At 43.6% G+C, this 14,782-nt stretch overlaps 1 protein-coding gene and 2 pseudogenes across 12 annotated transcripts in view; 2 read left to right on the top strand and 1 right to left on the bottom strand.

The window, feature by feature from the left end:
* The window catches only part of ATP8B1 (ATPase phospholipid transporting 8B1), a 156,890-nt gene that overhangs the window by 26,147 nt on the left and 115,961 nt on the right, over positions 1–14,782 (bottom strand). For all 12 annotated transcript variants that reach the window (XM_047437547.1, NM_005603.6, NM_001374386.1 and 9 more), the window contains 3 exons: positions 12,500–12,543; positions 11,464–11,620; positions 2,262–2,450 (listed from right to left, as the gene is read on the bottom strand). In XM_047437547.1, coding sequence (XP_047293503.1) covers positions 2,262–2,450; positions 11,464–11,620; positions 12,500–12,543 — 390 coding nt within the window. The remainder of the gene's footprint in view (positions 1–2,261; positions 2,451–11,463; positions 11,621–12,499; positions 12,544–14,782) is intronic.
* Positions 6,050–6,121, top strand: TRG-TCC5-1 (tRNA-Gly (anticodon TCC) 5-1; annotated as a pseudogene).
* On the top strand, positions 6,373–6,444 carry TRG-TCC6-1 (tRNA-Gly (anticodon TCC) 6-1; annotated as a pseudogene).

Below are 14,782 nucleotides of genomic sequence, written 5' to 3' on the forward strand. Positions count from 1 at the left end.
TATATACCTTCTGGCTAGGCAGGGTGGCTCACGCCTGTAATCCCAGCACTCTGGGAGGCCAAGGCGGGCCAGTCACCTGAGGTCGGCAGTTGGAGACCAGCCTGACCAACATGGAGAAACCTTGTTTCTACTAAAAATACAAAATTAACCAGGCATGGTGGCACATGCCTGTAATCCCAGCTACTCAGAAGGCTGAGGCAGGAGAATCACTTGAACCAGGGAGGTAGAGGTTGCAGTGAGCCGAGATAGCACCATTGCACTTCAGCCTGGGCAGCAAGAGTGAAACTCTGTCTCAAAAAAAAAAAAAAAAAAAGTATATATATATATATATATATATATATATATATATATATATATATAACATGTATATACACATATATACATACATATATCTACATATATACACACATATATAAATACATGTATATATAAATATACATATATAAATATATGTATATATATATAAATATAAATGTGTGTGTGTGTATACACCTTCTGATGTGATACTTAAAGAAAAGCACAGCATCACTTACGGACTCTTCCTGCCAACAATGTGTAACCTAGCTCTAATCATGAGGGAACATCAGACAAACGCAAATGGAGGGATAGCCTATAAAATAACCAGCCTGTGCTTTTTAAAAATATCAATGGATGAAAGATCAAAAAGAGATTGAACCGTCCTTGACTCAGAGTCATGATCACCTAATATAACCTGTGATCTTAGATTGGATCCTGGACCAGAAAAACAAAGAATGAACCTCCCTGGTAAAATCTGATAAAGTCTATTGATTAGATAATATTGTACTGTGTTAAATTTTCTGGTTCTGAACATTGCACTGTATATATAAGTGAGTGCTTCTGTTCTTAGGAAATACCTACTATGGTATATAGTACAGTATTTAGGGGAAAGGGACATTAGGCCTGCAATTTATTCTCTTTTTTATATTTTTATTTTCTTTTTTTATCATGTAATCTTGCTCCTTCTAACGCAATTTACTCTCAAATGGTTCAGAAAACAATAACCTGTATGTATGTGTGTGTACATATATATGTGTGTATATATATAGGTATATATAATGAAATTACATATATATAATTAGATATATATTAGATCTATATATAGAGATATGTAAATGAAATTTCATTATGTTAACAATTGGTGGATATGGAAGAGTATGAGGGCTCTTTAAACCATTCTTGTAACTTTTCTATAAGTTTGAGATTATTTCAAATTACGAATTTAAAGCAGTTCAGTGGTAGGAAGTGATTTTCATCTTCACTTGGTGGTCTGTTATGTGCCTGCATTGCAGATATGATTTTGATTCATAAGCATAGCTTTGCTTTTCTCAGAAATCTTTTCCTGCTGAGTCCTCCCTTCCCTGCCATCAAGTACAGAAGAGAGCACTCAGAGGTGCTCAAAAAATAAAAGAGCATGTGTTGTTTAAAATAAAAGACTGCTACAAATGTCTACCTGCTGCTTCAGAAATGTTCCACCTGCTGCCCCAGATTCAGCATCTGGCAGCCCACGTGGTTAAAGAATGTCAGCAGCTGTAATCCCAGCTACTCAGGAGGCTGAGGCAGGAGACTCGCTTGAACCTGGGAGGCGGAGGTTGCAGTGACCTGAGATCGCACCACTGCACTCCTGGGTGACGGAGCAAGACTCCATCTCAAAAAAAAAAAAAAAAAGAAAAGAAAAGAAAAAAAAGAGAGGGATTAAAAAAGAACGTCAGCAGCATTTGCAAGATTCAGAGATACTGTGGCTACCCCTTTGAGTAGGGAACACAGTGAAGAATGAAGAAAACAATACCAGTTTCTTTTTTTTTTTTTTTTGAGACGGAGTCTTGCTTTATCGCCCAGGCTGGAATGCAGTGGCGCGATGTCGGCTCACTGCAAGCTCTGCCTCCCGGGTTCACGCCATTCTCCTGTCTCAGCCTCCCGAGTGGCTGGGACTACAGGTGCCAGCCACCACGCCCGGCTAATTTTTTTTGTATTTTTAGTAGAGACGGGGTTTCACCGTGTTAGCCAGGATGGTCTCGATCTCCTGACCTCGTGATCCACCCGCCTCGGCCTCCCAAAGTGCTGGGATTACAGGCGTGAGCCACCACGCCCAGCCAACAATACCAGTTTCAGTAAAGCTGCAGAAATCTCCCAGGAGCCAAGTAGCTCTTTCACTGGCTGCTTTATCCTGATGCCACTCAATACAATGGGCACAAGCAACATCTAAATGAGCGATTCATAGACAGACTCTGAGGGGGACTTACCAATGATAGACATTCGCTTCCGGTCACTGTTGAAGTCCAAAATGGCAAGAACATTGTAAGTCCTTTCAGTGCCCAGTTCACTGATGGTGATGGTGTTCTGGGTCCTGGCGAGGAAGGCAAAGCCAAAGTTCCTGGCAGCGTTTACCAGGGCACCTTCATCGGGAGAGGCTGCCTGGTAGTTGAGCTGACCTAACAAGGAAGCGAGAGAAATCCCAGAAAAGCTGTAAAAACAAATGCAGAGCTCATTGTTGAGGCCTCTGCTGAGGCTCCTGTGGGGGTCAGATGGGCTGCAAAGCCCAAAACATCCCCAGGAAAACGAGTCATTGACTTGGAAGGGTTATGCCAAGATTAAAACTTCTTTGTTTTATCTTGACTTATAAACAGTAATATAAACTAAAAAAGAAACATTGGTGGAGAATGAGGGAAAATTCCCATAATCCCACCATCCACAGGAGAAACAACAGGTGTTGACATTTTATCATTCCCTCCAGTGCCTTTTAAAATGTCTGTATCTGAAATTGTTTCTATCAAGCTGAATATACATTTACATCCTGATTATTTTAATGCTGTATCTGAGCATATTGCCATCCCTTTTTAAATTCTTTATAAACATTTGAACAAATGTAAATATGTTATCATTTTCCCATTACAGACACTTAATTTCCAAATTTTTTTACTCTCAAAAAGTCACACTTTAATAACCCTTTTGTATGTGTGTAAAGATTTTTCTGTTTCTTTTTTCTTTTTAGAGACAGAGGTCTCCCTATGTTGTCCAGGCTGCTCTTGATCTCCGGGGCCCAAGTGATCCTTCTGCCTCAGCCTAATGAGTCGCTAGGGCTACAGGCTCATGTCACCTCACCTGGCTTATTCTCTTTCTTTCTTGTTTTTCTGAAACAGGGTCTCACCGTGTTGCCCAGGTTGCAGTGCAGTGGCACGATCATGGCTCACTGAAGCCTCAATCTCCCCAGGCTCAGTGATCCTCCTACCTCATCTTCCCATGTAGCTGGGATTACTGGTACACGCCACCACACCTGGCTAATTTTTTGTATTTTTTGTAGAGACGGGGTTTCACCATGTTGCTCAGGCTGGTCTCAAACTCCTGGACTCAAGTGATTCGCCTGCCTCAGTCCCTAAAGTGTTCGGATTACAGGCATGAGCCACTGCCCCTGGGCCCCTGGCTTATTTTCTAAGAGCAGATTCCTATTAGGAAAATACTGAGCCAGAGAACACTGATAATTTTAAAACTCATTGGTATACAATACTAATTTGTTTTCCAAGAAGGTTGTACCAGTTTATCTTCCCTCTAAAAAAGTATGTTTTCTTTCTTTCTTTCTTTTTTGTTTTTTTGAGACAGTCTTACTCTGGCACCAAGGCTGGAGTGCAGTGGCACCATCTCAGCTCACTGCAGCCTTGATCGCTTCAGGCGCAAGTGATCCTCCCACCTCAGCTTCCTGAGTAGTTGGGACTATAGGCGCACATCACCACGCCCAGCTAATGTTTGTATTTTTTGTAGAGACAGGATCTCACCATGTTGCCCAGGCTATTTTTTCTTTACCATAGCTATATTCTCCTTATTAAAAAAAAAAAGAAAAAAAAACCACACAGGCTGGGTGCAGTGGCTCACGCCTGTAATCCCAGCAATTTGGGAGGCTGAGGCAGGTAGATCATGAGGTCAGGAGATGGAGACCATCCTGGCTAACACAGTGAAACTCTGTCTCTACTAAAAACACAGAAAATTAGCCAGGCATGGTGGCACGTGCCTATAGTTCCAGCTACTCGGGAGGCTGAGGCAGGAGAATCACTTGAACCCAGAAGGTGGAGGTTGCAGTGAGCCGAGATCTCGCCACTGCACTCCACCCTGGTGACAGACCGAGACTCCATTTCAAAAAAAAAAAAAAAAAAAAAGAAAGAAAGAAAAGTTGAAACAAACCAACCAACCTTAGTTTGATCACTATCCGATATCTTAATGTTTAAAAGTTAAATAATGGAAAATTGTCTTCTATTCACAACTACATTTCAACAATAAGAATAAGCTAGGTTCAGTGGCACGTGCCTATAATTGCAACTATTCAGGAGGCTGAGGCAGGAGGATCACTTGAGCCCAGGAGTGTGAGGTTACAGTGAGCTTTGATATTCCACTGCACTCCAGCCTGGCTGACAGAGCAAGATGCAGTCTCTTTTAGGAAAAAAGAAAAAACCAATAAGAAGAGGAATAAATCTCACAGCCAGATACACAAAAGAGTACATATGCTACATGATTCCACTGAAATAAGCCAAAAAACTGACAGAGCTAACCTGTGTTATTCGTAGTCAGGAAAGTACTTTTCTTGTAATCACTGGAAAGGAATGTAAAGGGAATTCTAGGGGGATTGATAATGTTCTTTTTTAAAAATCTGGGTGCTCATTACAAGAGTATTGGTTTGTGAAAATTCATTGAGTTATATACTTATGATACGTACATATCTCTGTATACACATGTTGTACTTCAATAAAAAGTTTAAAAAATACTCTGCCTACCCAAGATCTTCTATTTTTCTACTCTAGTTATTTTGTCTCAAAATAGAAGGAAAAGCATTTCCGTGGCCAGATGACTTTGGACAGAAAGAGCATTTAGTTTTCCAAAATACTTTGACCAGGATGAAGGCCACAGATGCATGAGCAGCCTCACTTGGAATGGTTGGTGCTCTGGGGTAACGGTGGCAGAGAGAGCTAAACACACCTTCCTTCCTTCCTTCACAATTGGCTCAGAGGATTCACTTTTTAAGTCAATATTAATCACTTCCTAATTAATAATTAAAGATGACACTTAGGGTCTCTCTGTATTTGTTCACTCAGAAAGTCATTCACTAGAAGCTATAAACGCACTTCCTAAATCCGGCCATCTAGCAATCATATACAAATGCTAGAGGGCAAACTATTTAACCAGAGACAAATCAGCAGCGGTGAGAACAAAGCCTTTCCCTTCGGCAACTTAAGTTGGCACAGCGATATATGGCATAATATTGACAGCAAACGCATTTCCAGCAGAGAAAAGGAACAAAATAATAAAAAGTGGTAAAGTTCCCACAAGTAAGACACTCATATCTAGAGCAAACACCTTGATATTTTTATCATTAAAGAAAAAAAAATGTTTTCCATTACCTTCTGATAATGGAATCACAGAATTGCAGACTAACAGAGATGGGAAGAACGTCAGTGACTTGGTCCAAATTCCAACCTTATGACTGCTGGAAGACACTTGGACTAAAAAACTATGCAGCCATAAAAAGGAACAAAATCATGTCCTTTGTCACAATAGAGATTAGGCCATTATCCTAAGCAAATTAACTCAGGAACAGAAGACCACATACCTACCACATGTTCTCACTTAACATTGGGTACTCATGGACATAAAGACTGCAAAAATAGATAGTGGGGACTTCAAGAGAAAGGAGGGAGGGAGGGCAACAAGTGTTGAAAAACTTACTATTAGGGCAGGGCACGGTGGCTCACACCTGTAATCCCAGCACTTTGGGAGGCTGAGGCGGGTGGATCACAAGGTCAGGAGTTTGAGACCGGCCTGGCCAACATAGTGAAACCCCGTCTCTACTAAAAATGTAAAAAATTAGCCACGTGTGGTGGTATGCACCTGTAATCCCAGCTACTTGGGAGGCTGAGGCAGGAGAATCGCATAAACCCGGGAGGCAGAGGTTGCAGTGAACCGAGATCACACCATTGCACTCCAGCCCAGGCGATAGTTCGAGATTCTATCTCAAAAAAAAAAAAAGAAGAGAAAAGAAAAGAGTGTGGTGTTGATGGTATAGTGGTGAGCATAGCTGCCTTCCAAGCAATTGACCCGACTTCGATTCCCAGCCAATGCAGCAGGCTGACCTTTTGTCCTGGCTAACATGGTGAAACCCTGTCTCTACTAAAAATACAAAAAAAATTAGCCAGGCATGGTGGCGGGTGCCTGTAGTCCCAGCTACTTGGGAGGCTGAGGCAGGAGAATCGCATAAACCCGGGAGGCAGAGGTTGCAGTGAACCGAGATCACACCATTGCACTCCAGCCCAGGCGATAGTTCGAGATTCTATCTCAAAAAAAAAAAAAAAGAAGAGAAAAGAAAAGAGTGTGGTGTTGATGGTATAGTGGTGAGCATAGCTGCCTTCCAAGCAATTGACCCGACTTCAATTCCCAGCCAACGCAGCAGGCTGACCTTTCGTCCTGGCTAACATGGTGAAACCCTGTCTCTACTAAAAATACAAAAAAAATTAGCCAGGCATGGTGGCGGGTGCCTGTAGTCCCAGCTACTTGGGAGGCTGAGGCAGGAGAATGCATGAACCCGGGAGGCAGAGCTTGCAGTGAGCCGAGATCGCGCCACTGCTCTCCAGCCTGGGCAACAGAGCAAGACTCTGTCTCAAAAAAAAAAAAGAATAAAAAAGAAAAGAAAAACTAACTATTAAGTTCTGTGTTCACTACCTGGATGATGGGATCAATTGTACCCCAAACTTCAGGATCATGCAATATACCCATGTAACAAACATGCACATGTATCCCCTGAACCTAAAATAAAAATTGAAGGTGTAAAAACAAACTAAAAAAACAAACAAAAACAAAGCAACCTTCCTAAGAAAACTCTTTATTTATGGCACATTTAGAGGCAACCAGAAAGACCTTCTTTTTCTTTCACACACTAATTTGTGGCTCATGAAATTGATGTAATCAAAGAAAGATGCTCAAACCACAAATCCCACCTCTCAGTTCTCATCAACCTGATTCCCTAGCTTCAGGGTAATGGTGGCAGAGAAAGCTAAATGCACCTTTCTTCTCTCCTTCACAACTGCCTCAGCTGATTCACTCTAATTTCTTTTTGAGATGGAGTCTCACTTTGTCGCCCAGGCTGGAGCGCAGTGGCAAAATCTCGGCTCACAGCAACCTCCGCCTCGCGGGTTCAAGCAATTCTCCTGTCTCAGCCTCCCAAGTAGCTGGGACTACAGGTGCCCGCCACCACGCCCAGCTAATTTTTGTATGTTTAGTAGAGGTGGGGTTTCACAATATTGGTCAGGCTGGTCTTGAACTCCTGACCTCAGGTGATCCGCCTACCTCAGACTCCCAAAGTGCTGGGATTACAGGCGTGAATCACTGCACCCGGCTCACTCTAATTAAGTGACAATAAACTACCTGGCCAGGCATGGTGGCTCACACCTGTAATCCCAGTGCTTTGGGAGGCTGAGGCGGGTGGATCACCTGAGGTTAGGAGTTCAAGACAAGCCTGGCCAACATGGCAAAACTCCATCTCTACTAAAAATACAAAAAGTTAGCCAGGGTTTGGTGTGGGCGCCTGTAATCCCAGCTACTCGGGAGGCTGAGGCAGGAGAATCACCTGAACCTGGGAGGCAGAGGTTGCAGTGAGCCAAGATTGCGGCACTGTACTCCAACCTGGGCAACAGGAGCGAGACTCAGTCTCAAAAAAAAAAAAAAAAAAAAAAAAAGACTGGGTGTGGTGGCTCACACCTGTAATCCCAGCACCTTTGGGAGGTCAAGGCTGGAGGATTACTTGAGGTCGGGAGTTTAAGACCAGCCTGACCAACATGGAGAAACCCCATCTCTATTAAAAATGCAAAATTAGCTGGGTGTGGTGGGGCATGCCTGTAATCCCAGCTACTCGGAGGCTGAGGCAGGAGAATTGATTAAACCCGGGAGACGGAGGTTGCAGTGAGCCGAGATCATGCCATTGCACTCCAGCCTGGGCAATAAGAGTGAAACTTGGTCTCAAAAACAAAACAAAACAAAACAAAACAAAACAAAAAAAAAACCACACACGCTCACAAAAACAAGCCCTAGCTCTCAGATGTCTTTTTCTCCTCAATCCTCTCACCCCCTTTAAATGATTTGCCAAGTGTCTCCCACATCCATGGCTTTGTTATCCTTCCCAAAGACCCCATACTAATGCAAACCTTCAGCCTCTGTGCCAATCTCCAGTGCCTACCTGCTCCAGACTCTCACACCCGTGATGCGCAAAACTCCTGAAACAAGCTCTCTGATCATTAACTCAGAACCTCCAGGTGAAGTGAAGGCTTCCAAGCCTTCCACATTCTGCTCTCACATGACCTCTGTGCAGGCGGGAGTCTGCAATGGCCTCAAGGTTCCCATCCCAGTGCTGTACATTCACTTTCTCCCATTTACTCAATCAAGCACTAATCTAGGTACTGCTGTGAAGGGAATTTGCAGATGTGCGATCCTAATCAGCTGACCTTAAAATAGATTATCCAGGTGTTCCTGACTGAATTAGATGAGCTTAGGACAGAACTCTTCTTGGGGAGAGACTTGGAGCAGCATGAAAAAGGTTCAATTTAAGGGAGATTCTCCACCGCTGGCTTTGAAGGTGAAGTGGACCAGCTGGCAGGGAATGAGGACAGTCTCTAGGAGTGGAGGGCAACCCAGTTGATAAAGAATAAAGAAATGGGGACTTCAGTTCTACAACCACAGAGAACTGAATCCTGCTGCAACCACACGTGAACGTGGAAAAAGACACTGAGCTCCAGATGAGAACATGGCCCAAACTTGATTTTAGTCAGATGCTGAGCGGTGAACCCAGTCATGCCATGCTCAGAATTCTGCCCTACAGAACCGTAAGCTAATGAACAGGTGTTTTCAGTAGCTGAGTTACACTAATTCACTACAGAGTAGCAGAAAACAAATGCATGTGGCAGGGTGTGGTGGCTCACGCGTGTAATCCCAGCACTTTGGGAGGTTGAGGTGGGCAGATCACCTGAAATCAGGAGTTGGAGACCAGCCTGGCCAACATGGTGAAGCCCCATCTCTACTAAAAATACAAAAATTAGCTGGGCGTGGTGGTGGGCCCCTGTAGTCCCAGCTACTCAGGAGGCTGAGGCACGAGAATTGCTTGAACCTGGGAGGTGGAGGTTGCAGTGAGCCGAGATCATGCCATTGCACTCCAGCCTGGGTGACAAGAGCAAGACTGTCTCAAAAACACAAAACAAAACTTGAAGGTGTAGTCCCCAAGGTCCCTTTCAAGGGATCCTTTCCTGGTACTTTATGGTTAAAAGCCGAAAGCAATTTCTTTCTCTAAGCTCCTGCACTAGAAGCCAACATGTCTCTATTCGTACAACCCTTGACCTCAGCTGACAGTGGACAAAGAGCTGCGGTATGTCAGGCTGGAGGGACTTTGTGTTATTTTTTTTTTTTTTTGAGATGGAGTCTTGCACTGTTGCCCAGGCTGTAGTGCAGTGGCGTGATCTTGGCTCACTGCAACCTCTGCCTGCCAGGTTCAAGCGATTCTCCTGTCTCAGCCTCCCAAGTAGCTGGGATTATAGGCACATGCCACCATGCTTGGCTAATGTTTTGTATTTTTAGTAGAGATGGGGTTTCACCATGTTGGCCAGGCTGGTTTTGAACTCCTGACCTCATGATCTGCCCGCCTCGGCCTCCCAAAGTGCTGGGATTACAGGTGTAAGCCACCGCGCCCAGCCCTGCTGGAAGGAACTTTGTACATCCAACCTTCTTACTACAACACCGAGGAAGGTGGTTCTCAGAGAGGGACCCAGACTGGGCTGACTCATCTCTAGCATGTAGTCCAGGGCTCTTCCCATAATATCCCACTGGGGAAAGATAGAATAGGGACCACAGGATGAATTTACATTTGCCTAAGTTGGCCAGTTAGCCCTTAAAATCCTATCACGTACCCAGAGAAGAGTACAATAATTGTGCTTATGAGTCAAAACCAAAGAGAACCAGGTGACTTTGTAATATCATACTTTATGCTTATTGCCTGGGTAAAATTGGCTTGGTGAGTCAAATAGACTTAGACCTCTGCTTCCATGATTCAGGACCTGGTATCGCCCCTTTCTATCCTTCCCCACATCATCTGCTGATAAACCCTTCCATGTATCCACCCTAATCTGAACTCTGTTACCTTGCTTCATTGCAATATTAGATTCATCCTTGGAAAATGGGTTTCTTTGAAACTTGCTGAAAGGTATCATGTACAGCTTCTATACATTTAGGTGTTTTTTGTTTTTTTTTGAGATAGGGTCTCACTCCATCACCGAAGCTGGAGGGTAATGGTGAGACTATGGCTCACTGCAGCCTTGACCTCCTGGGCTCAAGCGATCCCCACCTGAGTAGCTGGGACTACAGGCATGTCCCATCACACCTGGCTAATTTTTTGTATTTTTTGGTGAGATGGAGTTTTGCCATGTTGCTCAGGCTGGTCTTGAACTCTTGAGCTCAAGCAATCCATTCACCTCGACCTTCCAAATGCTGGGATTACAGGTGTGAGCCACCAAGCGTTGGCCTACACATTTAGTTTTTATGCATATTCCTTCTCTGGAAATTTCATACCTGCTACATATGAAACATTAAGGTTGAGAAAAGAGAGGGACTTATGTATGCCGCACTGACTGAAGTAAAAAGTGGAAGATGTAGTGAAGTGGATGAAGTGAGGGAATGAAGTGAAGGCAGACTACGCTTTATTACAGAAACACCAAAAGAACTCCTTTTGCTCTTTCTATAAAGTGCATGTGTGTCTATATAATTTATCATTATGTCCATTTGTGATAAAATGACTAGCTTTCCTTGATACAGGACAAACTTGCTGTGACAAAGCTGGCACAAACTGCATCGAAGGATTCTGCAAAGGAACCTACAAGCCATTCTGGCTTGTTCCCATGAAATTCACATTAATTATGCTCCTTTAAATGGAAAAAGGCACCTTAAAGAGATCCAGGCTGAGGCTCATATTATTTCAAACCCAAACTATAACAGAATCTAGTAAATAAGAGCATATATCTGAAATTATTTGGTAGAAAAGATTAGTCAAGTTCAAAGTCCATTTCTGATACAGATAAAGCTTGACTTTTCACTCTCAGTCAATGCTCAGTAATAAATGTGCTAAGAAAAGTTAGTTTCTTCTATCATAGTTCAAGTACCAATCATTTCTTTCAACAAGATTTCATTTGCAAAGTGAAAAAAATACACCTGGAGCTATAGCTATGAATAAGTGTAAATTTTCAGGGACAAGAAGCTTGTTTCCTACTTTGCTCTTCCATAAACCATCTAGTGGTAAGTGCTGAGAAATATTCACTGCATTCTAATATGAGACAGATTTGTGTACTACTTGACATGCATTTGAGCCATAAGCAGGAGTTACCTGGAAACAAAAAACCTGGTCTCTAATGCCTGAGATGCCAGAGAAACACTCACCATCAGTCCTATCCACCATGACTGTGTGGCAAACTGCGAGCAAGAAGAAGAACTGTCGTACTTCTGGCTCTTTCCCTGACTGGATTTGCTCAATAAGATAGTGGTCATAAAATGCAAGCTTCCCATCAGCATATGTATTCCAGCTAAAATCAACTTGCTGAAAGAAATGGAGAAAAACAAAATATGATTTTATAAAATATTTTTGACTTAACAAATGACATGAACTTTTCTTCAAAGGCAAGGTTTCAATTATGCAAAAACCACCTTAGGATTTTAGCACATTCTTAAATGTCAAGAGGCTCACAACTGTCTTAAATAAAAAGCTCCCCCCCTTTTTTTTTTTGGAAACATATATGACCATATATGGGTCTCACTCTGTCACCCGGGCTGGAGTGCAGTGGCTTGATCTCAGTTCTCTGCAACCTCCACCTCCTGGGCTCAAGCAATCCTTCTGAGTAGATGGGCCTACGGGCATGCACCACCATACCTGGCTAATTTTTGTATTTTTTTGTAGAGATGGGGTTTCTCTGGTCTCAAACTCCTTGACTCAATTGATCTGCCAAACTTAGCCTCCCAAAGTGCTGGGATTACAGGCATGAGCCACCATGCCTAGTCAAAAGGTACTTTGTGGTGGACTAAACTATGTTCCCCCAAAAGATATGTTGAAATTCTAACCTCTGGTACCTATGAATGTGACCTTATTTAGAAACAGGGTCTTTACAGATGTAATCAAGATAAAATGAGGTCATACTCAATTAGGGTAGGTCCTAATCCAATGATTGGTATCCTTATTAGAAGGGGAAATGTGGACAGAGACACACAGACACACGGGGGACACCACGTGACAACAAAGGCAGAGACACAGAGTTGTGTTTCCAAGTCTCCAAGCCAAGGAACACCAAGGACTGTGGGCAACCACCAGGAGCAGGGAAGAGGCAACGAAAGAGTCTTCCCTAGACCTTCAAAGGAAGCATGGCCCTGCTGGGACCCTGACATCCCCAGCATCCCAAACGATTCTTCGGCTTAAAGGTCTTACCTCTATTTTGTTGTGGTTGTGTTGAGAGGCATCCCGATGGTCCCCTGAGAAACAAACAGGACAAAACAAATTGATTCTACACCTATGTCCAGAGGCCCCTCCTTACCTGGCTTTGCTTATATAGTGATGGTGGTAAGACCATATACGGCCTGGACAGGCTAAAATATTTATTATCTGGCACTTTACAGAAAACGTTAGATGACCCCTGGTCTAGATATTCAAATACCAGTGGCTGTCCCTCTCCACTACCTTCTCCTAGGGGCCTGAATCATATCCTTTGAAATGCTTTACCTCTCCCAAGTCAGAAGGACTCACATATGTGAGCCACGTCCTCAGCCCCTCAGTGCCCTACCATCTTCACTGATACTTCTTATGAGAAAAGGCACTCACGGTGCCTACAAGTAGGAAGTATATATGCATGTCCCTATATCATTTTAAACAATTGTGCTATTAAGTATATTTAAAATAGCACTCTATTTGAATCTAGTATTAGCCTTAATATTATCTCTAAATTTACATAAAATTAAATTTCTAAATGTTTCAGAAAATTAGAACTGAAATCAACTTTTAAAACAATTGGCTGGGTGTGGTGGCTCACACCTGTAATCCCAGCACTTTGGGAGGCTGAGATGGGCTGATCACCTGAGGTCAGGAGTTCAAGACCAGCTTGGCTAGCATGGTGAAACTCCATCTCTATTAAAAATACAAAATTAGCTGGGAATGGTGGTTCATACCTGTAGTCCCAGCTACTCGGGAGGCTGAGGCAGAAGAATCACTTGAACCCGGAAGGTGGAGGTTTCAGTGAGCCAAGATCGTGCCACTGCACTCCAGCCTGGGCGACAGAGTGAGACTCTGTCTCAAAAAAACAAAAACAAAACCAAAAACACAATTGTAGGCCGGGTGTGGTGGCTCACGCCTGTAACCCCAGCACTTTGGGAGGCTGAGGCAGATGGATCACTTGAGGTCAGGGGTTCGATACCAGTCTGGTCAACATGGTGAAACCCCATCTCTACAAAAAAGCAACAACAACAACAACAAAAATTAGCCAGGCATGGTGGTGTGTGCCTGTAATCCCAGCTACCCAGGAAGCTGAGGGAGGAGAATCATGTGAACCTGGGAGGCGGAGGGGTTGCAGTGAGCTGAGATCGCACCACTGCACTCCAGCCTGGTGACAGAGTGAGACACTGTCTCAAAAACAAAAACAACAAAGAAAACAAACAATTGTAGTGAAATACACATAATAAAATTTACCATATTAACCGATTTTTTGTTTGATTTTTTTGAGTCAGGGTTTCACTCTGTCACCCAGGCTGGAGTGCAGTGGTGCAAACCCAGCCCACAACAGCCTCGACGTACCCAGGCTCAGGTGATCCTACCTCAGCCTCTCAAGTAACTGGAACTACAGGCACACACAATTTTGCTCACTGCAACCTCCACCTCCCGGGTTCAAGCGATTCTCCTGCCTCAGCCTCCTGAATAGCTGGGACTAGAGGCATCCACCACCACGCCCAGGTAATTTTTGTACTTTTAGTAGAGATGGGGTTTCATCATATTGGCCAGGCTGGTCTCGAACTCCTGAGCTTGTGATCCACCCACGTAGGCCTCCCAGAGTGCTGGGATTACAGGCATGAGCCACTGTGCCCGGCCAGAGATGGGGTTTTGTCATGTTGCCCAGGCTGGTCTCAAAGTCCTGGGCTCAAGGGATGTGCCTGACTCAGCCTCCCAAGGTGCTGGGATTGCAGGCGTGAGCCACTGCACACCAGTCAACCAATTTTTGTTGTTGCTATTTTGAGACAGGGTCTTGCTCTGTTAGCCATGCTGGAGTGCTGTGGTGTGATCTTGGCTCACTGTAGCCTTCAACTCCCAGGCTTAAGGGATCTTCCTGCCTCAGTCTCCCAAGTAGCTGGAACTATAGGCATGCAGCACCATACTCTGCTAATTTTTAAAAATTTTTGCTTTGTTACCCAAGCTGGTCTAGAATTCTGGGCCTCAAGCAATCCTCCCACCTTGACCTCCCAAAGTGTTGTTATTATAGGCATGAGACACTGCACCCAGCCCATTTTAACCACTTTTAAGCATACAGTTCAGTGGCATCAAGTATATTCACACTGTTGTGCAGCTGTTTCATCTTGCAAAATTGAAACTCTGTACCCATTAAACAGTAACTCCCAATTCCCCTGACTCCAGCCCCTGGTAACCATCATTCTGCTTTGTCTCTATAAATCTGATTATTCTAAGTACTTCATATAAGTAGAATTATACAACATTTGTCCTTTTGTGACT

The sequence above is a fragment of the Homo sapiens genome, chromosome 18 (genome assembly GCF_000001405.40).
Source record: "Homo sapiens chromosome 18, GRCh38.p14 Primary Assembly".
Taxonomy (NCBI): Eukaryota; Metazoa; Chordata; class Mammalia; order Primates; family Hominidae; genus Homo; species Homo sapiens.